Source organism: Homo sapiens, chromosome 9, assembly GCF_000001405.40.
Source record: "Homo sapiens chromosome 9, GRCh38.p14 Primary Assembly".
Classification (NCBI taxonomy): Eukaryota; Metazoa; Chordata; class Mammalia; order Primates; family Hominidae; genus Homo; species Homo sapiens.
Window position 1 is genome coordinate 128056044 of NC_000009.12, and position 26095 is coordinate 128082138.

At 50.1% G+C, this 26095-nt stretch overlaps 2 protein-coding genes across 4 annotated transcripts in view, besides 5 other annotated features; one reads left to right on the forward strand and one right to left on the reverse strand.

The window, feature by feature from the left end:
- NAIF1 (nuclear apoptosis inducing factor 1) lies at positions 5190–11277 on the reverse strand. 2 transcript variants are annotated; one of them, XM_047422940.1, is made up of 3 exons: positions 10548–11277; positions 7331–7857; positions 5190–5783 (listed from the first exon to the last, which is right to left on the reverse strand). In XM_047422940.1, exons 1-2 carry the CDS (start codon positions 11056–11058, stop codon positions 7385–7387), a joined length of 984 nt encoding a protein of 327 aa, XP_047278896.1. In that variant the 5' UTR covers positions 11059–11277; the 3' UTR covers positions 5190–5783; positions 7331–7384. The 2 variants fall into 2 exon arrangements, with proteins under 2 accessions (XP_047278896.1, NP_931045.1); NM_197956.4 differs by having other exon boundaries at positions 5190–7857.
- Positions 11136–11465: an enhancer, noted in NCBI's record as "active region_29069". NCBI's record gives its function as "activates an Ori minimal core promoter by ATAC-STARR-seq in GM12878 lymphoblastoid cells {active_cell/tissue: GM12878}" and the evidence as "EXISTENCE:reporter gene assay evidence [ECO:0000049][PMID:35858748]".
- Positions 11916–12485: a silencer, noted in NCBI's record as "silent region_20323". NCBI's record gives its function as "represses an Ori minimal core promoter by ATAC-STARR-seq in GM12878 lymphoblastoid cells {active_cell/tissue: GM12878}" and the evidence as "EXISTENCE:reporter gene assay evidence [ECO:0000049][PMID:35858748]".
- Positions 12189–26095, forward strand: part of SLC25A25 (solute carrier family 25 member 25) — a 41014-nt gene continuing 27107 nt past the window's right edge. For both annotated transcript variants that reach the window (NM_001330988.2, NM_001006641.4), the window contains exon 1: positions 12189–12537. In NM_001330988.2, the coding sequence (NP_001317917.1) occupies positions 12277–12537 (261 nt within the window). In that variant the 5' untranslated portion in view covers positions 12189–12276. The remainder of the gene's footprint in view (positions 12538–26095) is intronic.
- Positions 13216–13295: an enhancer, noted in NCBI's record as "active region_29070". NCBI's record gives its function as "activates an Ori minimal core promoter by ATAC-STARR-seq in GM12878 lymphoblastoid cells {active_cell/tissue: GM12878}" and the evidence as "EXISTENCE:reporter gene assay evidence [ECO:0000049][PMID:35858748]".
- Positions 17468–17968: an enhancer, noted in NCBI's record as "H3K27ac hESC enhancer chr9:130835790-130836290 (GRCh37/hg19 assembly coordinates)". NCBI's record gives its function as "activates a minimal SCP1, AML or CMV promoter by ChIP-STARR-seq in primed H9 embryonic stem cells {active_cell/tissue: H9 hESC(primed)}" and the evidence as "EXISTENCE:reporter gene assay evidence [ECO:0000049][PMID:30033119]".
- Positions 17969–18469: an enhancer, noted in NCBI's record as "H3K27ac hESC enhancer chr9:130836291-130836791 (GRCh37/hg19 assembly coordinates)". NCBI's record gives its function as "activates a minimal SCP1, AML or CMV promoter by ChIP-STARR-seq in primed H9 embryonic stem cells {active_cell/tissue: H9 hESC(primed)}" and the evidence as "EXISTENCE:reporter gene assay evidence [ECO:0000049][PMID:30033119]".

Here is a 26095-nt window from a genome sequence, read left to right on the forward strand (position 1 = left end):
TGTGTCCCCCACTGTGTTCTGTGTTCTGTGAGCAACAGCTTGTTAACTTCACCCATCCTCCTTATCAGAGAAGGATTTTTAGAGAAATTAAATAATCCCATCCTAGAGCACAGTCGGGAAGTTAGAGACAGGCAGACTCTGAAGCCCCCACATTTACTTGTGAGGAGCCTGGCTCCTGGCCACAAGCCTACATGTGATCTCTCAGTCCCAACCAGAAGCAATGACAAAGGCTGAGCCTGGCAGGCCTCAGTGGGGTGGCAGGAGGGGGCAGCTGCCCTCCCCACACCAGACTTGAGACACAACCAGTGAGTTGCAGTCATGGAGTCAGCTCCCCAGCCGGTCATGCCCTTGCACATACTGCAGACCCAGCCCAGGTGCCTCTATTCGGTGGCCCCTATCAGGGGGTCTCAACTGAAGCCTTACCCAGGTGCCTCTGCCAGGACCTCCTGGCAGGAGTGTGGCATGTGGGGAATCTTTTCTTTCCTTTTTTTTTTTTTTGGAGACAGAGTCTTGCTCTGTCGCCCAGGCTGGAGTGCAGTGGCGTGATCTCAGCTCACTGCAACCTCTGCCTCCCGGGCTAAAGTGATTCTCCTGCCTCAGCCTCCTGAGTAGCTGGGATTATAGGCCCCTGCCACCACTCCCAGCTAAGTTTTGTATTTTTAGTAGAGACAGGGTTCACCATGTTGGCCAGGCTGGTCTCGAACTCCTGGCCTCAAGTGATTCACCTTCCTTGGCCTCCCAAAGTGCTGGGATTGCAGGTATGAGCCACTGTGCCTGGCCTAATTTTTGTATTTCCCTCTTTTTTTAATTTTTATTATTATTTTTTTTCTGGGTAGAGACAGATTTTTGCCTTGTTGCCCAGGCTGGTCTCAAACTCCTGGGCTCAGGAGATCCTCCTGATTTGGCCTCCCAAAATGCTGGGATTACACAAGCCCAGCCAGTGAAAGGAATCTTGAACACTCTTTACTATCAGTAATTTTCCACTCCTAGCCCTTCTCCCTCTTGTCCCCTCCGACCCCCACCAAGGCCATAAAACAGCAGGAGTCTTTTTTTCCTGAGGATTCCCTCAGCAGTGAGAAGACACCCCCTTGTGTAATACATCTCACCCTTACCTGGTGCTGTCCTGTGGGGAAAAAAATGGAACATAAGGGGAGTGGCGTTTTCTCCTCTTGGTTACGCCAGCATAGTAAGCAATTACAGGCTTCACTGTTACTTTCACTGTAGCCTGTTGTCTTCATGGACTAAGGTAAGGGGACAGCTCAGCAGTCTCCAACTTGCGCACCCGCCTCTTTCAGAGCAATTGCAGCCACAGCCTCCTGGCGGTGGCCTCTTCCCTGTACTGGCCTTGGTTCCCATGTCCCCAGTCAGCCTTAAGTCCTTCCCACTCTGCTTTCTGTGCCCCTGCCACCTTCTAGTTCCAGGGTCGCATCCTTTGTAATCCCATTCAAACCACAGAGCTCCCATTGTGACATCAAGACTTGGTAGTTACCACTTCGGATTATCGGCCACTGTAATGACGATGACAGCAGCTGTATTTATTGAGCATGAGCTATTCCCAGCACTGCCTTGTAGATCTGTTGGGCAAACATTATTGAAGAAAGAACTGGCCGGATGCCACGGTTCACATCGTAATCCCAGCACTTTGGGAGGCCGAGGCAGGAAGATGACTTGAGCCCAGGAATTCGAGACTACCTGGCTGACCTGGCAAAACCCAGTCTCAACAAAAAATATAAAAGTTAGCTGGGCATAGTGATGGGCTCCTGTGGTCCCAGCTACTAGGGAGACTGAGGTGGAAAGATCTCTCGAGCCCAGGAGGTCAAGGCTGCAGTGAGCCATGATTGTGTCACTGCACTCCAGCCTAGGCAACAGAGTGAGAACTTGTCTCAAGACAAATAAACAAAAAAAGAAAGTACTCTCCCCTAAAATACAGTTTACAAAGCATGCCTTTCCAAAAGGCTATCAAAAGGGTTTAAAATATAAAAGGTTTGGGAGGCTGAGGCAGAAGAATTGCTTGAACCAGGGAATCAGAGGCTGCAGTGAGCCGAGATCGTGCCACAGCACTCCAGTCTGGCGACAGAGCAAAAAAAAAAAAAAAAAGAATACTAACACAAGCTGCCTCTAGGCCTCGTTTGATCTAGACACTACTCCTCCCGGTCAGGTCAGGCTCAAATCATCTCTAGGTGACCTCAAATCTTACTGGCAGCAAGGTCAGAGTAGTTAAGAACAGTAGCTAACAGCATGGGCTACGTTGGGTAATAAGGTAGCTGTGGGACTTTAGGCAAATTGTTAATCCTCTCTGATTCTCAATGTCCTCACCTGCAAACAGAACAATGTTAGTGCCTACTTCCTGGGGCTGTTGCAAGGAGTCAATGAGATAATGCTTATAAGGCCTCAGTAGACTAGGGGCTCAATAATTGTTAGTTGTTTTTGTTTTTGTTTTTGTTTTTGAGACGGAGTCTTGCTGTGTCGCCAGGCTAGAGTGCTGTGGCGCAATCTCGGCTCACTGCAACCTCCAACTCCCTGGTTCAAGGGATTCTCCTGCCTCCGCCTCCCAAGTAGCTGGGATTACAGGCATGCGCCACCATGCCCGGCTAATTTTTGTATTTTTAGTAGAGATGGGGTTTCACTATGTTGGCAAGGATGGTCTCGATCTCCTGACCTCGTGATCCGCCCGCCTCGGCATCCCAAAGTGCTGGGATTACAGGCATGAGCCACCGCACCCGGCCAATAATTGTTAGTTTTTAATTTTTTTTTTTTTTGAGATGGCGTCTTGCTCTGTTGCCCAGGCTGGAGTGCAGTGGCACGATCTCGGCTCACTGCAAGCTCTGCCTCCGGGGTTCACGCCATTCTCATCCTGTATTTAAATATATATATTGCATATATGTAAAGATAGGATCTTGCTATGTTGCCCAGGCTGGTCTTGAACTCCTGGGCTCAAGTGATCCTCCCATCTTGACCTCCTCACCTTGGATTACAGATGTGAGCCACCACACCTGTTCCAATTTTTTTTTTTTTTTTTTTTCAGACGGAGTTTTGCTCTTGTTGCCCAGGCTGGAGTGCAGTGGTGTGATCTTGGTTCACTACAACCTCCACCTCCTGGCTTCAAGTGATTCTCCTGCCTCAGCCTCCCAAGTAGCTGGGACTACAGCAGCCTGCAACCACGCCCGGCTAATTTTTTGTATTTTTAGTAGAGATGGGCGGGGTTTCACCGTGTTAGCCAGGACGGTCTCGATATCCTGACCTCGTGATCCGCCCGCCTCGGCCTCCCAAAGCGCTGGGATTACAGGCGTGAGCCACCACGCCTGGCCAATAATTGTTAGTTTTTATTGTTACTAAATACTGGTGAGAGTGATAGCTATGCCCAGGAATACTGAGATCCCTCCAGAAGGAAGGCCAGTCTTATTTAAAGGAGTATCCCTGCTTGGCAGGACTTCCCAACTGTTCAGCAGAAACTCCAGAGAAGCAGTCATCCTTGGTGCAGGATCCGGATTCCAGCTGAGTTTAAGTCTTCCAGTCTCTGAGCCAAGGTTCTTAACCGGCCTGGAGTAGTGGCTCATGGCTGTAATCCCAACACTTTGGCAGGCAGAGGCAGGAGGAACACTTGAGCCCAAGAGTTGGAGACCAGCTTGGGCAACATGGTGAAACCCCATCTCTACCAAAAAAAAAAAAAAAAAACAAATTAGCTGAGTGTGGTGGCGCATGCCTGTAGTCCCAGCTACTCGAGAGGCTGAAGTGGGAGGATCAGTTGAGCCCAGGAGGTCAAGGCTACAGTGAGCTGTGATCCTGCCACTGCACTCCAGCCTAGGTGACAGAGTGAGACCATGGTTTTTTTTGTTTTTGAGATAAGAGTTTCACTCTTGTTGCCCAGGCTGGAGTGCAGTGGTGCGATCTCAGCCTCCCGGGTTCAAGCAATTCTCCTGCCTTAGCTTCCCCAATAGCTGGGATTACAGGCATGTGGCACCATGCCCAGCTAATTTTTGCATTTTTAGTAGAGACAGAGTTTCTACATGTTGGTCAGGCTGGTCTCAAACTTCTGACCTCAGGTGATCCACTCACCTTGGCCTCCCAAAGTGCTGGGATTACAGACATGAGCCACCGCCAACTGGCCAAGACCCTGTCTTTTTTTTTTGAGACAGAGTTTCTTGTTGCCCAGGCTGGAGTGCAATGGCGTGATCTCGGCTCACTGCAACCTCAGCCTCCCGGGTTCAAGCGATTCTCCTGCCTCAGCCTCCCAAGTAGCTGGGATTACAGGTGCCCGCCACCACACCCAACTAATTTTTTGTATTTTTAGTACAGACGGAGTTTCACCATGTTGGCCAGGCTTGTCTCAAACTCCTGACCTCGTGATCCACCTGCCTCGGCCTCCCAAAATGCTGGGATTACAGAGATGAGCCACCACACCTGGCCAGATCCAGTCTTTAAAAAAAAAAAAATTCTTAACCTTCAGAAAGTATCAGGATTACTGAGGGCTTGTACTGAGGGCTTGTTTACAATGCATAGAGTCCTCCCTCCAGGTTTTGAGTGAGGCCTGCGATTGGGTATATTTAAGAAATGCCTCAGGTAATTCTTTTTTTTTTTCTTTTGTTTTTTTTTTTTTGAGACGGAGTCTTGCTCTGTCACCTGGGCTGGAGTGCAATGGCATGATCTTGGCTCACTGCAACCACTGTCTCCCGGGTTCAAGTGATTCTCCTGCCTCAGCCTCCTGAGTAGCTGGGATTACAGGTGCATGCCACCACGCCCGGCTAATTTGTGTATTTTTAGTAGAGACGGGGTTTCACCATGTTGGTCAGGCTGGTCTCGAACTCCTGACCTCGTGATCTGCCCACCTCGGCCTCCCAAAGTGCTGGGATTACAGGCATGAGCCACAGTGCCTGGCCTGCCTCAGGTAATTCTTAAGAGTCCCAAACACTGCCTTAAACCAGGAATAGACTGACTTCTACTGTAAATGGGTCAGAGAGTAAACACTTTTGGCTTTGTGGGCCAGATGTCTCTGTAACTACTCAACTCTTGCTTTGGTGGTACAAAAAAAAAAAAAAAAAAAGCCACAGGTTCATAAATGAATGGGTGTGGCTGTGTTCCAATACAATTTTATTTATAAAAATAGGTGGTGAGCCTGATTTGAGTTTGTGGGCCATCGTCTGCCAGTCCCTGGTTCTCTTCTATATATAAGCAATAAAGACACAGAGATGTGTGTATAAAAAAGTGATATGTCTTTAATTTAAAATTATGACCCGGAAATAACTAGTCAGTTTAAGTGATCCAGACTTCCTCTTCATACCCAAATGGAACAGACACAATATTGGCTCAGATTTCCAACCCCAGAAAAAAACCAAACCAAGTCCTCAGGAAGTCCCTGCAGCGACCTTGCTGGGGCCATCAGACCGCACAGAGTGGAGGTGCCCAAGCTGCTAGGCTGCTCTTAATCCAGCCACACTGAGAAGAGCTTTCCTTCTACCAGCAACTCCCTCGCTGGGTCCGATATCCCCCTTCACCTCCCTTTTAGCTGGCACTGCACGAATGCCTCCACAGAGAGGCTGACAGTACAGCAGTCACCTCCCAGCTGTCTTCGGTGCATCTTCAGGGCCACCTTCCTGTGGTCACAATAGAGGAGTTGAGCATTCTAAACGTTCGTGCCCAGGAGGGCAGCGTCTTCTCTTTTTAGCTGAGGTCTGGAGCCCTGAGTTGTAACCATTGGTCATATGTGGCTGAGGCACCGACAGCAAATCGCCAAACTTGGGAAACGATCTGGGGAGATGCAAGGGCCTTGGTAATTGATGGTGAGTCTGAAAATGAAACAGACAAATGGCATCTGGGTAAAATCCTTACAGACATCTCAGAAGAGAAAGTGTAAAGATGGAACAGGGAACAGCACCTCCTTCAGCACTCCAAGGCTCTGCCTGCTCTTCCCTGAGCATAGAATCCAAAGGGTCCCATTTGTTTTTTTGGTTTTTTCTTTGTTTTTTTTTTGAGACAGAGTCTCGCTCTGTCGCCAGGCTGGAGTGCAGCGGTGCAATCTCGGCTCACTGCAATCTCCGCCTCCTGGGTTCAAGCGATTCTCCTGCCTCAGCCTCCCGGGTAGCTGGGACTACAGGCGTGTGCCACCACGCCCAGCTAATTTTTGTGTTTTTAGTAGAGACGGGGTTTCATCATGTTGGCCAGGATGGTCTTGATCTCTTGACCTCGTGATCCACCCGCCTCGGCCTCCCAAAGCGCTGGGATTACAGACTTGAGCCACCTCGCCCGGCCAGGGTCCCACTTCTTAGGTCAGCTTCGCCTTTTCCTCCTCCTACGTTCAGGGTCAATTATGGCTTTGGATTCACTCAGCTACTCAGAGGGAGTCTCAAGAGAACAGAAGGCACTGAGCGGTGTGGCAGGGGAAGAGTCCAGCATGTGATGCTCAGCAGGGCTTTTTTTGCACTGAATTTTGGAAATGTGGAGTCAGCAGAGAGGAAAGGAGGATGGGTGTGGCCACAGGGCAGCCTTCCTGGAGGCCTTCCTAGGAGGGGTTCACACACAGAATAAATACAACTGGCTGGATGCAAGCCTCCGCACAAAGCCAACAGGTCACTCAGACCCACTGCAGTGGGGCAGCAAGCTTCCACACTAGTTGGCTTTCTCAAAAATTTACAGCATCCAAAGCTTGACCTGAGTCAAAAGCTCTAGGGACAAACCACCAAAGGGCTGCCCAGAGATGCTGTTGAAAACCAGAGAGTGGCCAAACCGTCCCCACCATACACAGCATTCCTGAGCCAGACTGGCTGCACACTGCATGTATTACGGAGGCGTCCCAGCACACTACCTAACAAGGGCCTGCGCTGTGCCTGGGGTGGGGTCGGGGGAGAGCACAACAGTCATTGGAGTCCCCTGAGAACTGAGGCACAGTGAGGAGAAAAGGGTGGGGTTTCCTCCTCAGTCACACTACCTCCCAAAGGAGGAAGATATTATTGCTCAACTGCCAGCATCAGTGACATTACCCTACTCGAAAGGATGGCACCTGGGGTTGGGCAGCTCAGTAGAGACCCAGGCTGGGTGACGGCCCCCAGTGACAGCCCGTTGTGTTGTTCCTTACAGTTGTCCAAGACCAAGGCTGGGTCATGTCACAAGCCCGGGGTCATGACAACACATGTCCCATCACATGCACACGTGACCCCCTGCTAACCAATCTTCTGGATCTTAGCAAGGCAGCTCAAGTAGGGGGAGTATGAGTTTGGGTCCCAGGAGCCCAACAAATTCCTCTTCTCAAAAACAGTGCAACCCCTAAGCGTTTATTAAAGAGGGAGCTGTGCACGTGGCCGGTCTAAGGCCAAGGCCAATCACAGGACCCACTTACAAGTCCATGGAGTTTTCATCCCATCATGGCAGAAGGCTGGCCTGACCCCTGCCCTCACTGGATGATGCTGTCTGGCTGCCCATTCTGGGCCACCTGCCCAGGGTCAGAGGCGGGGGCCGGGTTAGCTGTGTTGCTCTGCAGGTAGCGGCGGAAATCTTTGATCATAGGCCGGAGGACCTGGATGAGGACGCTCAGGGCAGCCTGTGTGCCCTCCATGGCCTGGGCCTGGCGCTCCTGGGCACAGGCCTGCACTTCCTGGGAGCGGCGGATCATCTGCAGTAGGTCGTTCTGCTGTTCCAGGTGCTGTGCGATCTCCTTCACATGCAGGTTGGTGACCCGCTGCTCCTGTATCAGCTTGGCGGAGTTGAGAGCAATGCGGCTCTTGAGCGCTTGCGGCTTGACCGACGTGTCTGCATGCTGGGCCATCATGTCCACAGGGGTCTCTGGTGGCAGAGGTGGGGGCGCCTCAGCCGTGCAGTACTCCACCACGCCCTCCTCCAGCGTGTGATAGGTGGTCTCTGTGGGGACTGCACAGTAGAAAGAACAGAGGCCAAGGGAGGTCACTTTCTGGAAGGAATAAAGCTGGCTGTATGGGGTGGGGAGGAGGCCATAAAGTCCTGTCCTGGAGGGACATAAAGGGGAATCCAGGCCTCCCCTGGCTGCATAGCTATTCACATATAAATCTAGAATCTAAGGGGTTCAGAATTTTTTTTTTTTTTTTTTTTTTTTTTTTGAGACGGAGTCTCGTTCTGTCGCCCAGGCGGGAGTGCTGTGGCGCGATCTCCGCTCACTGCAAGCTCCGCCTTCCGGGTTCACGCCATTCTCCTGCCTCAGCCTCCCGAGTAGCTGGGACTACAGGCGCCCGCCACTGCGCCCGGCTAATTTTTTGTATTTTTAGTAGAGACGGGGTTTCACCGTGGTCTCGATCTCCTGACCTCGTGATCCGCCCGCCTCGGCCTCCCAAAGTGCTGGGATTACAGGCGTGAGCCACCGCGCCTGGCCGGGGTTCAGAATCTTAATCTACTTGGTAATCAAAGGGCCAGCCCTGGATCTGGCAAAAGCAAAGATGTTGATCATAATACTAGCAAAACTTTTAGAGCAACTACTACATGTCAGGCACTTTGTACTCATTAGCTCAACAAATCCTCAAAATGACACCAAGAGGTTGGTGCTGTCATCTTCATTTTTCAGAGATGAGGAAACAGACTGAGAAATGTAGAATGACTTGCTAAGGTCACAGAGCTCATTCAGCAGAGCCAAGAGGCAAACCCAGGTCTCCCCAACAGCAGAGCCCGATGTGCTCCTGACCTCCACGCTGGGCTGCTCCTAGCTAAGAAAGGCACCCCCGGCCGGGCGCGGTGGCTCACGCTTGTAATCCCAGCACTTTGGGAGGCCGAGGTGGGTGGATTACCTGAGGTCAGGAGTTCGAGACCAGCCTGACCAACATGGAGAAACCTCGTCTCTATTAAAAATACAAAATTAGCCGGGCATGGTGGCGCATGCCTGTAATCCCAGCTACTTGGGAGGCTGAGGCAGCAGTGAGCCGAGATCATGCCATTGCACTCCAGCCTGGGCAACAAGAGCAAAACTCCATCTCATAAAAGAAAGAAAGAAAGAAAGGCACCCCAGAGGCTGGGTCACATGCTCTCTGTGGTACCATGCAGCAGGCATCTTGGGTGGGACTCTACACACGCTCTTTGCAGCCACATTAGTCCTACCTCCTTTGATGCTTTCTGCTTTTTTTTTTTTTTTTGAGACGGAGTTTTGCTCTTTTGCCCTGTTACCCAGGTTGGAGTTCAGTGGCACGATCTCGGCTCACTGCAACTTCTGCCTCCCAGGTTCAAGTGATTGTTGTGCCTCAGCCTCCCGAGTAGCTGGGACTACAGTCGCCCACCTCCAAGCCTGGGTAATTTTTGTATTTTTAGTAGAGACAGGGTTTCACCATATTGGCCAGGCTTGTCTCGAACTCCTGACCTCCACTGATCTGCCCACCTCAGCCTCCCAAAGTGCTGGGATTACAGGAGTGAGCCACCATGCCAGCCCTTTGATGCTTTCTTGACTTGACTTCCTAGGCCCCTATGGCGAAGCAGAAAAGGAGGTGGGAATGGGGCAGCAGTAGCTAAAGTACCCAGTCAATGTCTCCCTGTCTGTCATCATCTGGGTCAATCCGATACTTAAACATCCTTCCTGTTCCAGAACAGCATCTGACCTAGACCCGTGTTTGTCCCCCTTACCCCACCCCAGTGTATTCTTGAGAAATACGCATTGTGAGGGGATGGCACTCGCACATCCACCCAACTCCCCCAACCCCCACTGAGAATCACTGAATGATCCAGCTCACGGTCATCACAAACGAGCAGAGGTAACAGGGCACAAACTCTTCTTTGAACTAAAAAATCCAACCAAAGTTAGTTCTGTTGTCATTCCTGAGAACCACGGAAAGGATCCTGGCTGGGCTGTATGGGCCTCCGCGCATGTGGGAGAGGTCAAGCTCCTCCACCCTTCAACGCCAATGTCAGCTATGTGTCCTTATGCCACCAAGAAGCCCCCTTCCTCTTCCGGGGCCTGAGGTTTTCCCAACTGATGGCGAAGCTATTCCTATATGTGTCATCTCTGTCCTACTAGAACATAACTGGCCTGTATTTTAGACAACTTGGTAATCCCAGTGCCCAGCACAGGGTTTGGTACAGAATAAGTGCTAATGTTTGATGAATGAATGAATGAATGAATGGAGTAGATTAACACCAGGAACCATGAGGCTCCTGAGCAGCACCTGATGAAAGATCCCCCACACTGAAAACAGAATCCAGAATCGTTGTCTCACTTGGGCAGTATTATTCCCATCAATTTTTTCAACAAATATGGCCTGGCTGTCTACTACAAGCCGGGCCCTGTGAAAAGTCCTGTGGGGATACAGACACGGTCTCTTGTTTTCAAGGACCACCCAGTTCGGCAAGTGGAGGTAAGTCATGGACAAACATGGTGGCAATGCTCAGTGGCGAGCTATCCAGCACGTCAGAAGTCCAGCCCACGTGCTGAGGAAGTCCCAAAGAGAGCAAGATCACTTCTGTCTGGGTGCTGCTCTTGGAAGGCCTCATGGTCTTCCAAGACCCCCATCTGACCTCTGACCCTTGGCAGCCAACCTTCCCCAGGCCACCCCAGAGCTTGCTGGCCCTTCCCACTTATGCACGCCGCCTGGGCAGGAGAGGTCACTCACTCTGTGTCAGGGTGACCGTGGCTGCGGCTGCGGTGGCCGAGGGTCCGAGGGCCACAGGGTGGATCTCTGTGGTGCTGGGCAGGCTGATGATGGTGGCCTCGCCCAGCAGGTTGCAGATACGTTGTTGCATGGGGGTCAGCAGCACTGGGGCTACAGCTGGGCCACCGCCACCACTGCCACCGCCTGTCCCAGGCCCCCCAGCTCCGTCCTCCTCAGTGGGCCCCGGCGCCTCACCACCCTCCACGGCGGCCCGGACCTGGGCAACCTTGCGACGGACCTCGGTCTTGAGGTCAGACCACTTCTTCTTGACCTCAGGCAGCTCTCTGCGGCAGGTGGCCACGGCGTTGACCCTTCTCAGGATGCCGTGCCAGGCCGCACTCTTGGCGGCCAGGGGTACCCCGGCGTTGAAGTGGTTCACCAGCAGGTGCTTCTTCAGCTCCAGCTCCTCCACGATGATCTCCACCTCCCGCTCTGAGAAGTTCATCTTCCTTTTCTTGGCTGGGACGGCCATGGCCTCTCCCCTCCCCTCTTTTTAAAGAAATTATAATCCCCTCAAGCGCCCCAATTCCCCTTCTCTTCTTCCTCAGCCTCGCCCCTCACCCACCCCCTACAGGGGATAGGCCAGGCTTGCTCGAGGCCAAGCACTAGGCCTTTGGTAACCCCCCTCGCTACGCAAAGTGCGTAGGGCCCAGCCCCGACCGGCCCGGCCGCTGCCAGCCAGCAGCGTAATGGCTTCCTGAATCTGCCTCTTCCGCCGAGGTGTGCGGAGATCCGCCCACTTCCCCTCTTCCCGCCTCCCAGCGCTTCTCCGGGAAAACCGGCCTTCCCGGTTGGTAGCTGCTCAAATATCACGTCGATCACTGGTTCTTTCGATCTGTCGCTCAGCTAAAGAGCACGCCTGCTTACTGTAATTCGCCTGATCATTGGTCTAAAATTGTGTCCGTCGCCCAGAGGGCCCCGCCCACCTAACCTTTATTCACTTCCATTGGAAAATCATTCTGTCGTTCAATTGTCAGTATTACGACTATTAAGCCGTTAAATTCAGCTATTTTATTGGTGGTTTAGGGAGTTAGATTACCAAAACCCTGCTTCCTGAGGATACTTAGTGCTTTCGGCCGTGACCCATGGGTCAATTAACTTTTAATTCCTCCCACCGGCACAAACTCTGCCTCGCAACTGCAGTTCACAAATGCTCTCACACAAATCCTGTTTCCCACTGGAGGCTACGATCTCTCCGTACACTACCGCTCCTCCCATCCTTAAGATCCCGCAGTCTAAACAGAGTTAGTTCATCAATGGAAACTGGACACGGGGCCTTCCGCCTGCCAATCACATTACTCATGCCTATCGCTGCGTGATTTTCTCTCTCTTGGCCCCCGGCTCAGCCAATCCCCGCCTCCCTCAGTTTGAATCGGCCCCAGGCGGAGCCGGGTGACCCCGCCCACCCCATTGATCCGGGTAGTCCGTGGCGCGTGGGCTGTCCTTAGACAGGCTCCGCCCCTCCCTCCTCCCCATCCGAGCCTGTGACTGGCCTTCGGTGCGCCCGGGCGTGGCCGGCGAAGCGGGGCGCGGAGGGGCGGGGCTCCCGGAAGCCGCCCCTTCCGCCAGCTTGCCGGCGTCTCCGAGCCCGCGCTCCCAGCTGCAGAGCGCCTGGCTTGCCTCCCGCGCGGTCACCGCCGGCCCGCCGCCCCCGCTCCCGCCCGCGCCCGGAGCCCCTGCCTCGCGCCCGATGGTGAGCAGTGTGTTGTGCCGCTGTGTGGCCTCCCCGCCGCCGGACGCCGCCGCCACCGCCGCCTCTTCGTCTGCCTCATCGCCGGCGTCCGTGGGGGACCCCTGCGGCGGCGCTATCTGCGGGGGCCCGGACCACCGGCTGCGCCTGTGGAGACTCTTTCAGACGCTCGACGTCAACCGGGACGGCGGCCTGTGTGTCAACGACCTGGCGGTGGGGCTGCGGCGCCTGGGACTGCACCGCACCGAGGGCGAGCTCCAGGTAGGCTGCGCGCGTCCTCAGCACTGGCGGGGAGGGAGCCCCTCGAGGGCCGGGTGACAGGTCTCGGGGGACGGCCCCTTGGGCTGGGCGGAACCCCCACTGTCCAGAGGAAGGGTGCCCCCTGACTCACTGAGGGACACCCCACTTATGCCCTGGTGGGAGCGGGGCTCCTTCCTGACTTCTTTGGGTGCTTGAGCCGGGTTCTTCGTGGACACAGGTGGGCATCCTATGGGCTTTCTGATGGGCGAAAAGCCCTTTCTTGCCCAGAGTAGAAGGCCAGGTCTCAGGAGTGTGCCTTTGTCACCTCCTGACCTCAAGGCCAAGCTGGACGCTCCCTTCACCCAAGGATGGGTTCATCCATCAGTCCCCAGCAGCACCCCCTCCTTTCCCTCTCGTTTCCATGCCAGCCGTGGGCCCTGATCTGGTTCCTCTCAGGAACATGTGGGAGTTGAAAAAAAAATTGGTATTGGGGTTTCAGGCTGATCCGTGTGGACGTTGGCGGCGAAGACTGACAGTTCTCATGGTTTAGGCTCATCTCCATTGCCCTGTTTATCCAGAAAATGGGATCGTGATCCCCGCGGGGTTGGAGTGTGGACGGAGTGAAAGAATCCGGGGGAAATTTTTTTTCTAAAAGTCAAAGCGAGATTGTTACTATTGTGGGCTCTTGGCCGAGGTGTGGGCATAGGGGCGCAGAGAAATGGTCATCCCTGGGCCTGCCAGGAAGAGAAGTGCTGGCCTTTCTGTATGAGAACCTCAGAGCAGAGGCTGTTTCTTTCCCTTCTGTCTCTTCCCCCTTCAGTCTGACTTGGCGGGTGTAGCTGCCATTTTCCCAAGTATTTCATTTACTGTAGCTTAGCCTGATTTACAGCCTGGAATAGGACTCCTGAGTACTTTACCTAAGAACCTGTTTCACTGCTGAGTTAGTTTGGTCCATTTGTACACATGACAATTAGAGAATCTCGTAGCCAAGTATGAAAAGAATCTGGTAAACCGCCAATGAATTAAACCAATTTGTTGGGTGGGTGTACATAGGTGTTGTTAACTCATGTTCAAGATTCTTGGATCAACATCCAAGGTATTTAGCGCTAACTATTAGGATCAGCCTAGGAGGACCAAGAGTAACACTACGCAAGATAGAATGGTTAAGTCCAGGAGATTTAGAGACAAGTTTTTTTTGTTTGTTTGTTTTGAGACGGAGTCTGGTTCTGTCTCCCAGGCTGGAGTGCATTGGTGCAATCTTGGCTCACTGCAGCCTCCGCCTCCTGGGTTCAAGAGATTCTCCCGCCTCAGCCTCCCCAGTAGCTGGGATTACAGGCATGTGCCACCACACCCAGCTAATTTTTTTTTTTTTTTTTTTGAGAGAGTCTCACTCTGTCACCCAGGCTCGAGTGCAGTGGTGCGATCTTGGCTCACTGCAAGCTCCGCCTCCCGGGTTCACGCCATTCTCCTGCCTCAGCCTCCCTAGTAGCTGGGATTACAGGCATGTGCCACCACACCCAGCTAATTTTTTTTTTTTTTTTTTTTTTTTTTGAGACAGTCTCACTCTGTCACCCAGGCTCGAGTGCAGTGGTGCGATCTTGGCTCACTGCAAGCTCCGCCTCCGGGGTTCACGCCATTCTCCTGCCTCAGCCTCCCTAGTAGCTGGGACTACAGGTGCCCGCCACCATGCCCAGCTAATTTTTTTTTTGTTTGAATTTTTAAGAGAGATGGGGTTTCACCGTGTTAGCCAGGATGGTCTTGATCTCCTGACCTTGTGATCCGCCCGCCTCAGCCTCCCAAAGTGCTGGGATTACAGGCATGAGCCACCGCGCCCGGCCACCCAGCTAATTTTTGTATTTTTAGTAGAGATAGGCTTCCACCATGTTGGCCAGGTTGGTCTCGGGCTCCTGACCTCAGGTGATCCACCTGCCTCGGCCTCCCAAAGTGTTGGGATTACAGGCGTGAGCCACCGCACCCGGCTAGAGACAGGTTTTTTTTGTTTTGTTTTGTTTTGTAATGTTTCCAGTCAGTTTTACACAAAATAGTGTTGTGAACTGGAGATTTTCCTGTATGTATCTGATGAATACTCACTTGAAAAGGTAGAATGGCTGGCCGGGCACAGTGGCTTACGCCTGTAATCCCAGCACTTTGGGAGGCCAAGCCGGGTGGATCACCTGAGGTCAGGAGTTTGAGACCAGCCTGACCAATTTGGAGAAAACCCGTCTCTACTAAAAATACAAAATTAACGGGGAGTGGTGGCGCATGCCTGTAATTCCAGTACTCGGGAGGCTGAGGCAGGAGAATCGCTTGAACCCGGGAGGCGGAGATTGCGGTGAGCTGAGATTGCACCATTGCACTCCAGCCTGGGCAACAAGAGTGAAACTCCATCTCAAAAAAAAAAAAAAAAAAAAAAAGAAAGAAAGAAAAGAAAAAATAGGAAGGCTAAACCCAGAGGGTTTCTGTTTCTGCTTTTGTGAACCTACCCACTTGGCATTGCTGCCAGGCACATTGAGAACGTCTGGCTGCGGGAGCATGTTAAATGTCTGCCCCATGCTTTGTGCATCAACTAGAGTCACAATGTTCTCGAGATTCAAGGCACATCTGATATTGATCCTAATCTGTTTTTTTAGTGGTGAATTTCTCGGGGCAAATAAGGAGAAAGTGATCATTTTTCTTTCTGGTTTTGAAAGAAAACTTTTATTAACCAAAGAGAGCCTAGCCCCTTGGGGTCACTTTGACTCTAAAATCTTTGACTCCATGACAGATCTAAGTTCTATGATAGGAAGCATTTCTTTATTCTTTTGGTGTGTGGGTTTAGTATAGAGTGTATTTCATTTATTTATCTATTATTATTATTACTTTTCTGAGATGGAGTTGCACTTTTGTTGCCCAAGCAGGAGTGCAATGGAATGATCTCAGCTCACTGCAACCTTTGCCTCCTGGGTTCAAGTGATTCTCCTGGCTCAGCCTCCCTGGGACTACAGGCACGCACCACCACGCCCTGCTAATTTTTTTTTTTTTTTTGTATTTTTAGTAGAAATGGGGTTTCACCATGTTGGCCAGGCTGGTCTCAAACTCCTGACCTCAGATGATCTGCCCGCCTTGGCCCCCCAAAGCACTGGGATTACAGGCGTGAGCTACCGCGCCTGGCCTATTTATCTATTTTATTTTTTTTTGAGAAGCAGTCCGCTCTGTCGCCCAGGCTGGAGTGCGATGGTGTGATTTCACTGAAACCTCTGCCTCCTGGGTTCAAGCAGTTCTCCTGCCTCAGCTTCCTGAGTAGCTGGGATTACAGGCGCCCGCCACCATGGCCCGGCTAATTTTTGTACTATTAGGAGACAAGGGATTTCACCATGTTGGCCAGGCTGGTCTCGAACTCTTGACCTCAAGTGATCTACCCACCTCGGCCTCCCAAAGTTCAGGGATTACAGGCGCGAGCAACTGCACCAGGCAGTATAGACTGTATTTCTACTACTTTTTTGGCTTTTGAACAAATTCAGTTGTTATACAGCTTTGAGATCAGAAATAATTTATTAGCTCATTACCTGTAAAGGAGCACAAGTTAGTCCTGTGGGGAACGTTTGAAGTCTTGGAGAGAAGATCTGCCTTTTTGTAAATAACTGGGCAACAGGAAGACATCCTGCCTCTTGTACCCCCATACCACTTCCTGTTGAATTAGCATTAGTATTAACTGCCTACAGAAAAAGCAGTGCTGAGGCTTTGCAGAACTAGCAGGAGCCGAAAGAGAACTGTGGGGCCCTTTGGGTCAAAATGGGTCATCTGCCATGGGAATAGATGTTGAAGAACACATCAAACTTTGGAAGGTGCTTCCTATGGCCCATATGAAACCAGTGTGAGATGCTGGGGTTTGCACGGGAATCAGCTGTGAGTGCTTATCAGGGGGTGATGGGTAAACCCAGGCCATGTGACTTCACAAAGCCTCTTCTTAGCTTATAACAGTCTGGGTCAAGTTTTCTTTAAAAGTAAACCAGCAAGTTTTGCCATCTGCCTTTGTTTGAGAAGAGATGGGACACTCATAAAAATTGCTTAAAATGGAAGTGGGCAGAGAAACCGTTGGCAGCCAGCCAGGGAAATTTTCTTTGTAAAGGGCATGTAAGCGAGAAGCTTGTTCTGGGACAAAAAAAGGGAAGAGTTCATTAAAGAAGAAAGAAAAAAGATGACGACAACAGTAGTGACTTTGGGAGATGAGACTCAGCCAGAGCTAATTATAGATTGCCTATTTAAGGCATTTTCATGTGACCAAATACAATCTGTGTCTTAAAACAAATTTAAAACATAGGTTAGAACTCAGGCAGCCAATTAGAGGAAGAAAGCAAGCTGTATTCTGTGTAAACAGTTGTCTCTCCAGCTGAGGCTTTGGGGCTCTTGTAAGGGGCTGGTGTTTATTGCAGGTGAGGTTCTAGATGAGCTGCAGTTTGCTCATTTAGAGACTGGCATCCACACCATCTCTTTTGAGCCCCACAAAAATTTGTTAAGTAAGCAAGTCAGTAAAATGATTTTCACTCCATTTTACTAGGGAAGGAACAATGGTTCAAAAAGACAATGGAACAACCTCAAAGATCATTTGATCGCAAGGAAATTGGACCAGAGAAGGAATTGGAACCATCTTCTGATTCCTGCTCCTCTCCTCCTTAACACAGTTTTTTTCAGGAACATGAAGAGAATTCTCAAGTTCTTTTGGGGAAACTTGAGAAAGAGGAGGAGAGATAATTTAGAACCACATATTTTGCTCCCAAAGTATAGGTTTCAAGATTATCCAGTTTACCCTGTCAAAGAACAAGAATCCGCCCTCCCCCATTTCTCTCCCTGACCCGAGCAGTGCACATGAGGCAATCCCTATTGACTTGAAATTATTGAATGGAGATCAGTAATGTCAAGTTGGTATTGCTTAATCAGACAGACTGTTGAACTCTATACTTTTTAAATGTTTGGCCATTTGTGGATGTTTATCAAAAGAGCCAGACTTAGATAAGACAGTCTACAGAAGAAAGCTCCTTTCCAAGAGATAGACATTATTCGCTATAATATAATGGCCCTTTAGGAAAAGAAAAATGCTTTTCACAGATTGGATTAAATTCATATATTAAACTAATTGTGTTATATTGTTGCATAATCGGTCCCTGGCTCAAAGTCATAATTATCAAGTCAACTAGAATACTTTTTTTTTTTTTTGAGACAGAGTCTTCCTCTGTCACCCAGGCTGGAGTGCAGTGGCGTGATCTCAGCTCACTGAAACCTCTACCTCCCCGGTTCAAGCAATTCTTTGCCTCAGCCTCTGGTGTAGCTGGGATTACAGGCCTGCGCCACCATGCCCTGCTAATTTTTATATTTTCAGTAGAGACTGGGTTGCGCCATTTTGGCCAGGCTGGTATCCAACTCCTGGCCTCAAGTGATCCACCTGCCTCAGCCTCCCAAAGTGCTGGGATTACAGGTGTGAGCCACCATGCCTGTCCTTGAGAAGATTTTTTTGTGTGTGTGTGACGGATTCTCACTCTGTCACCCAGGCTGGAGTGCGGTGGTGCAATCTCGGCTCACTGCAACCTCCACCTCCCTGGTTTAAGCAATTCCCCTGCCTTAGCCTCCCAAGTAGCTGAGATTACTGGTGCACACCACCACGTCAGGCTAACTTTTTTGTATTTTTAGTAGAGACAGAGTTTCACCATGTTGGCCAGACTGGTCTCGAACTCCTGACCTCAGGCAGTCCGCCCACCTCAGCCTCCCAAAGTGCTGAAATTACAGGCGTGAGCCACCATGTCCAGCTGAGAAGATTTTTTTTTAATAAGTTGATATTTGGAAAGATGCAGTCCCATACCCTGATCCTAAAACCAAGTAACAAATAAGAATAGGGCTGGGTGTGGTGGCTCATGCCTGTAATCCCAGCACTTTGGGAGGTCGAGGCAGGTGGATTACCTGAGGTCAGGAGTTCAAGACCTGCCTGGCCAACATGGTGAAACCCCATCTGTATTAAAAATACAAAAATTAGCCGGGCGTGGTGGCACACGCCTGTAATCCCAGCTACTCGGAAGGCTGAGGCAGGAGAATTGCTTGATCCCAGGAGACGGAGGTTGCAGTGAGCTGAGATCGTGCCAACACGGGCCTGGCCGACAGAGCCAGACTCTGTCTCAAAAAACAAAACAAAACAAAAAAGAACATATGAGGCTGGCCATGATGGCACTTTATGAGGCTGAGGTGGACAGATGGCTTGAACCTAGGAGTTCGAGACAAGCCTGGGCAACTTGGTGAAACCCTGTCTCTACAAAAAATACAAAAATTGGCTGGGCACAGTGGGTCACACCTGTAATCTCAGCACTTTGGGAGGCTGAGGTGGGCAGATCACTTGAAGTCAGGAGTTCGAGACCAGCCTGGCCAACATAGTGAAACCCCGTCTCTACTAAAAATACAAAACTTAGCCAGGCATGGTGGCGTATGCCTTTCTGTAGTCCCAGCTACTCAAGAGGCTGAGGGAAAATTGCTTGAACCCGGGCAGCGGAGGCTGCAGTGAGCCAAGATCACGCCACTGCACTCCAGCCTTGGAGACAGAGTGAGATTCCATCTCAACAACAACAACAACAACAAAATTAGCTGGGCATGGTGGCCCATGCCTGTAGTCTAGCTACTCGGGAGGCTGGGGCAGGAGGATCGCTTGAGTCTGGGAGGCTGAGGTTGCAGTGAGCAGAGACTGTGCCACTGCACTTCAGCCTGGGCAACAGAACAAGACCCTGTCTCAAAATAGATATAAATAGAGAATGAGAGAGCACGAGCCTGTCTGATCTGGAGCTTCAACTAGATGAATTTTTTTGATGTTCAAAGAGTTATTACTGGCCAGATGCAGTGGTTCACACCTGTAATCCTAGTACTTTGGGAGGCCAAGATGGGTGGATCGCTTGAGCTCAGGAGTTCAAGACCAGCCTGGGCAACATAGCGAGACCCCCATCTCTGTTTTTTATAAAATAAAAAAAAGAAAAGAAAAGAAAATGGGGGCCAAGTGTGGCGACTTACACCTATAATCTCAGCACTTTGGGAGGCTGAGGCAGGCAGATTGCCTGAGGTCAGGAGTTCGAGACTAGCCTGGCCAACATGGTGAAACCTCATCTCTACTAAAAATACAAAAACACTAGCCAGGCGTTGTGGTGTGCACCAGTAATCCCAGCTACTCGGGAGGCTGAGGCAGGAGAATCACTTGAATCCAGGAGGCGGAGGTTGCAGTGAGCCGAGATCGCGCCACTGCACTCCAGCCTGGGTGACAGTGCGAGACTCTGTCTCAAAAAGAAAAAAAACAAAAAAGAGTTATTACTTGTTGAAGTCTCACATCCCCACAAGGGAATGATAGAAACAAATATTTTGCTGGTATTCATTTCTTCATTTCTATTCCAGCTGAGTCTTGAATTCCTGGGCTCAAGCGATCCTCTTATCTCGGCTTCCCAAAGTGCTGGGATTACAGACCTAAGCCACTGTACCCAGCCAACTTTTTATTTTATTTTATTTTATTTTATTATGCCTGTGACACAGCCTCAGGGGTCTTGATGACATGTGCCTGGCAGCCAACTTTTTATTATTTATTTATTATTTGAAACAGAATCTTGTTCTGTCACCCAGGCTGGCGTTCAGTGGTTCAATCACAGCTCACCGCAGCTTTGACCTCCCAGACTCAATCTATCCTCCCACTCAGCCTCCCAGGTAGCTGGGATTACAGGTGTGCACCACCATGCCCAGCTAATTTTTGTATTTTTTGTAGAGACGGGGTTTTCCTATGTTGCTCAGGCTGGTCTCGAACTCCTGAACGCATGTGATCCTCTCGCCTTGGCCTCCCAAAGTGTTAGGATTACAGGCATGAGCCACCACGCCCAGCCTAACTTTTTTTTTATTTTTATTTTTATTTTTATTTTTATTTTTATTTTTTTTTGAGACAGAGTCTCTCTCTCTCGCCCAGGCTGGAGTGCAGTGGCGTGATCTCAGCTCACTACAAGCTCTGCCTCCTGGGTTCACGCCATTCTCCTGCCTCAGCCTCCCCAGTAGTTGGGACTACAGGCGCCCACCACCACGCCCAGCTAATTTTTGTTGTATTTTTTAGTAGAGACAGGTTTTCACCATGTTAGCCAGGATGGTCTCGATCTCCTGACCTCGTGATCCACCCGCCTCAGCCTCCCGAAGTGCTGGGATTACAGGCGTGAGCCACCACACCCGGCCCTAACTTTTTGTTTTTAACCATTAATTATACTAATGCGAATTTGGCAGAACCATAGAATTTAGTCTTGGATGGGTGACGGGCCATCATGGTCACTAGCCAGCCTTCCACCCAACATGGAGATAAGCTCTCCGGAAGCATCCTTCGCAGATGGTCATCCGCCCTTTCTATTGTGAACCTAATTGGAGTCACTGTGAGTTCTCTGTCATGTTAGACTGAAATCTTGTATCTGCTGCTGCCCATTGCCCCATGTGTACCTTCAGGAGCAAGACAGAAAAGTGATCCAAGGGCCCTTTATCTGAAATCTGTGGTCTTATCTTCCTATAATCTCTGCTGCTGCTAAAAACAGGTATCATCATGCACTTCTCAGGTGACGTGCTGTCCATACCTTACAGTTCCCTTAGCTGAGACAATAACCCATGGGGTTTATAGTACAGACTTTCCTCGGAAATGTTACGCTGATTGAAAGAAGCCAGTCGCGGCCGGGCGCGGTGGCTCACGCCTGTAATCCCAGCACTTTGGGAGGCCAAGTCGGGTGGATCACGAGGTCAGGGGATCGATACCACGGTGAAACCCCGTCTCTACTAAAAATACAAAAAAAATTAGCCGGGCGCGGTGGCGGGCGCCTGTGGTCCCAGCAACTCGGGAGGCTGAGGCAGGAGAATGGCGTGAACCCGGGAGGCGGAGCTTGCAGTGAGCCGAGATCGCGCCACTGCACTCCAGCCTGGGCGACAGAGCAAGACTCCGTCTTAAAAAAAAAAAAAGCCAGTCGCAAAGATCATGCACTGTATGATCCATTTAGGTGAAAGTCCAGAATGGAGAAGTCTACAGAGACAGAAAATTGAGTAGTACTTGCCTACCTGGGAGTGGGGTACTGGCGGGTAGAGAGATAGGAAGGTGAGATGAGGTTTCTTTTTGAGGTGTTGGAAATATTCTCAAGTTGACTGGAGTGATGGTTGCACATATCCGTGAAGATACTGAGAACCACTGAACTGTATACTTTAAATGGGTGGCTCATGCCTGTAATCCCAGCACTTTGGGAGGCTGGTCAGGAGTTCGAGACCAGCCTGGCCAACATGTAGAAACCCCAGCTCTACTAAAAATACAAAAATTAGCCGAGCATGGTGGCACACATCTGTAATCCCAGCTACTCGGGAGGCTGAGGCAGGAAAATTGCTTGAACCTGGGAGTTGGAGGTTGCAGTGAACCGAGACTGCGCCACTGCACTCCAGTCTGGTCAACAGAGTGAGACTCTGTCTCAAAAAAAAAAAAAAGGGTGATTTGTATGGTATGAGACCTGGGTTCAAATGTTCCTTCTGCTGCTTGCTAGCTGAGTGACCTTGAACAAATGACTCACCCTCTCCAAGTCTGTTTCCTTATCAGAAACTTGTTGGTATGAGGACCTACTGCATAAGGGGGGTGTGTGGGTTAAATTAGATAAAGCATAGAAAGAGCCCAGGACTGGGTCTGGCACATATTCACCAAGTGACTTCCCCATTGGTTCTTTGAAAATAAGGTGCCCAGAATTGGTCAGAATCACCTATATTTTGCCCCTAGTTTGCTTAGGTGAAAAGCGAAAGGCAAGGGAGGGCAAAGCCTGGGGACATCAGCATTAAAGGGTGTGTGGCACCCAGGGAGACATAGCCCCACCCCAGCAACCTGGAGAGGGAGAAGCTTCCGTGGTGTGGAAGGGGATGTCCGCTGTGGAAAACCTGGGCTCTGTGGACATCAAAATGAGCAAAGAAACAATAAAAAGTTGTAGTAGACTCACTCACTCTATCTACACAAAAAGACGTCTTTGGGGCCCGCATGCTTTCCCTGGACAGAAACCGGACCTCCTCATCTTGCAAGCCTGTTGCCCTCTCAGAAGCCGTGGATCGTCTTTCCTAAGTACAGAGTTGACCTTGAAGTTGTGAAAGTGGAAGCTCAAGTGGAGCTTACTTCAAAGCTTTGGAGATTATCTCACTAACCAGCATTACTTTGCAGAAGTGGGACTAAGGCTCGGAGGCTGGGTTGCTTGGAGGCCAAGCCAGTTCCAGAACCCAGGATTTTGACTCTGCCCCATTTAGCTCAATGCAGTGCCGCCTTCCTTCTTTGACTGTGGACACTTAACTTGCCTTTAAAACTTGGCCACATTTATTTTCATAGTTTATGACATTGACATACCTGTGCATAACTCTGTCTCAGCATTTTAAGGCCCTGGTGGTGCACAGGAAGCCGTGACTAAAATGATAGGTACACTGTTCCTAATACGGGATATAAAAGACTCAACACCACACCTGACAAAAGAAGCTGTTGTCTTAAAGATGCATCTTCCTTTAAAGTAAATGAATAACAAAGGTAGGCCATAAGGAGCTTCTTATCTACTTTAAGCTCTTGGCTGGCTTTTCCAGGAAGTTTGAGGAGATAAATCATGACTCATTTTCTGCAGGGTCAGTGGGGAAACTGGAGAGGTGGCTGTCCCTGTTCCTGCCGGTGCCTGAAGCTTTCAGTGTTGTTCCATCACACTCTGGCTCCATACCTTTCCTCCTGTCCTCCCTCCCTGTTGGCTGGAGTCTAATGTGACACTTCTTCCAAAACACAGAACCGCCTACATTGTGTAAGAAGACTCTCAAAAACCATTGATTGAAATGCTGCTGATGCCAAAAAAAAAAAAAAAAAAAAAAGGGTGGAGAGAGGGTAGTTTAGATCACCAAGAATAAGAACCAACTGGCTGGGCGTTGTGGCTCACGCCTGTAATCCCAGCACTTTGTGAGGCCAAGGCAGGTGGATCACTTGAGGTCAGGAGTTCGAGACCAGCCTGGCCAACTGGCAAAACCTTGTCTCTACTAAAAATACAAAAAAAAAAAAAAAAAAAAAAAATTAGCCGGGCCTGGTGGCGCATGCCTGTAATCCCAGCTACTGGGGAGGCTGAGGTAGGAGAATTGCTTAAAAAACCCAGGAGGGGCCAGGCGCGGTGGCTCACGCCTGTAATCCCAGCACTTTGGGAGGCCGAGGCGGGCGGATCACGAGGTCAAGAGATTGAGACCATCCTGGCCAACATGGTGAAACCCCGTCTCTATTAAAAATACAAAAATTAGCCGGGTATGGTGGTGCACGCCTGTAGTCCCAGCTACTCGGGAGGCTGAGGCAGGAGAATCGCTTGAACCTGGGAAACAGAGGTTGCAGGCAGCCCAGATCGTGCCACTGCTCTCCAGCCTGCTGACAGAGCGAGACTCCCTCTCAAAAAAAAAATTAGCTGGTCCTGGTGGTGCGTGCTTGTAATCCCAGCTACTGGGGAGGCTGAGGCAGGAGAATCGCTTAAAAAAACTCAGGAGGGGCCGGGCATGGTGGCTTATGCCTGTAATCCCAGCACTTTGGGAAGCTGAGGCAGGTGAATCACTTGAACCTGGGAGGTGGAGGTTGCAGTGAGCCGAGATCACGCCACTGCACTCCAGTCGGGGCAACAGAGTGATACCCCATCTAAAAAAAAAAAACAAAAAAACAAAAAAAAAACCCACAAAAAACCCAGGAGGTGGAGGTTGCAGTGAGCTGAGATCGTGCCACTGCACTTCTGCCTGGGTGACAGAGCAAGACTCCATCCCAAAAAAAAAAAAAAAAAAAAAAAAGAACCAACTGTCTGTTAAGTCCTTATCTGTAGAGTAGATAGGACACAGTGGAATGGTCCTGTTGGTTAAAACCAGCTATGGTACACACCTTCATCAACCTTGTTGGGCTTTTTTTTTTTTTTGAGACGGAGTTTTGCTCTCATTGCCCAGGCTGGAGTGCATGGAGGCATGGAGTAGCTGGGATTACAGGCATGCGCCACCGTGCCCGGCTAATTTTTTTTTTGTATTTTTAATAGAGATGAGGTTTCACCATGCTGGCCAGGCTGGTCTCGAACTCCCAACCTCAGGTGATCCACCCACCTCGGCCTCCCAAAGTGCTGGGATTACAGGCGTGAGCCACCACCCCCAGCCATTGTTGGCCTTTTCTATCCCACTTGCCCAAAACCCTGTTGTTGCTTTTGGTTAAGGCCTTTAGATTGAGTTGGAATCCATATAATGTTAGAACTGGAGCGTTTTCAAGGTTGTTCAGTTCACTCCCCACATTTTACAGGCTGGAGAAGTTAAGCAATTTGTCCAGTGTCCTATAAAGGCATTGTAGGGGGGATCTTAGGGAGAAAGACAAGGTTCCTCAGCACCCCTTAGTGATGCATTTATGGACACAGTTAACTTTTTTCCTTTTTTCATTCACGACTTGGGTGTATTTTTTGTTTGCCAGAGTCTCTTCCTCTCTAACCTACAGAAGAAGGAAAAATAGGATCTAAAGGTAGATAGTTCTATAGCTAAAGAATTCCTTTTCTGAATTGTTTAGGAGAGCTGGCTTGGTTTAAACCAGCTATTAGCCGGCATTCATCCAGTTGCCCTCCCACCCTGAACAGCTGTGCTGCGTGTAAGGCAGCCCAGGGAGGGTTTCACCCCCTTGACCTCTCTCCTGCCTGCAGTCCTTGTGCAAAGCAGAGCAAGCAGCTGGTGAGAGTTAAGTTTGTGTTGAGTCAGATCATCTCAGTGTGAGTGCAATCCTGAGATCTGTTTTCAGAAACTAAAAACATTTTATGTTGCTTTAGTAATAAATTTGTTGGTTTGCTTTTTCACGTGGGAGAAGGAAAGGAGAGGATAAGGACAGGGTGGGTACAACAAGTAGGCTCACATGGACGAATTGTGTGGCTCCCACTGGCCAGTGTTGGGTTGCTTCAAAATTTTTTGAACATTTTAGGTGATTGGGTTGTCACATGCTGGCCTCCATACCATATTCACCCCCTGCTCCTTACTCTTGGTGCACATGTCTAATCTAAAGGAGAATCATGCTCTTATAAGAGCAGAAAAAGAAGAGAAATTAGGCCGGGCACGGTGGCTCATGCCTGTACTCCCAGCACTTTGGGAGGCTGAGGTGGGAGGATTGCTTGAGGCCAGGAGTTCGAGACCAGTCTGGGCAACATAGGGAGACCCAATCTCTACAAAAAATTTTAAAAAATTAGCCAGGCATGCCTGTGGTCCCAGCTACTTGGGAGGTTGAGGTGGGAAGATCCCTTGAGCCTGGGAGGTTGAGGCTGCAGTGAGCCATGATCATACCTGCACTCCAGTCTGGGCAGCAGAGCCAGACCCTGTCTCAAAAAAAATAAAGTAGAAATCCCATATTTCCAAGCAGACCCTTGCTTCTGTAGAACTTGACTTGTTACATCTTAAAATCCTACACTTAAGAGTTGGGTAAATTTTGTATGCCTCTAACTTTCTTGTAGAGAAAAGAAAAAGACATCTTTAATATGCATTCACCTTGAACTTGGGACCTCGAAGGGGACTGGCTTTTCACCAGGAGTAAACAGAAGCCATC

Excerpts from the sequence above, each read along its gene's own strand:
- NAIF1 (XM_047422940.1), bottom strand. The coding sequence starts at position 11,058 with ATGGCCGTCCCAGCCAAGAAAAGGAAGATGAACTTCTCAGAGCGGGAG. Across the intron at positions 7,858-10,547 it reads CACGGTCACCCTGACACAGA|TCCCCACAGAGACCACCTAT; the intron begins GTGAGTGACCTC and ends TCTACTGTGCAG.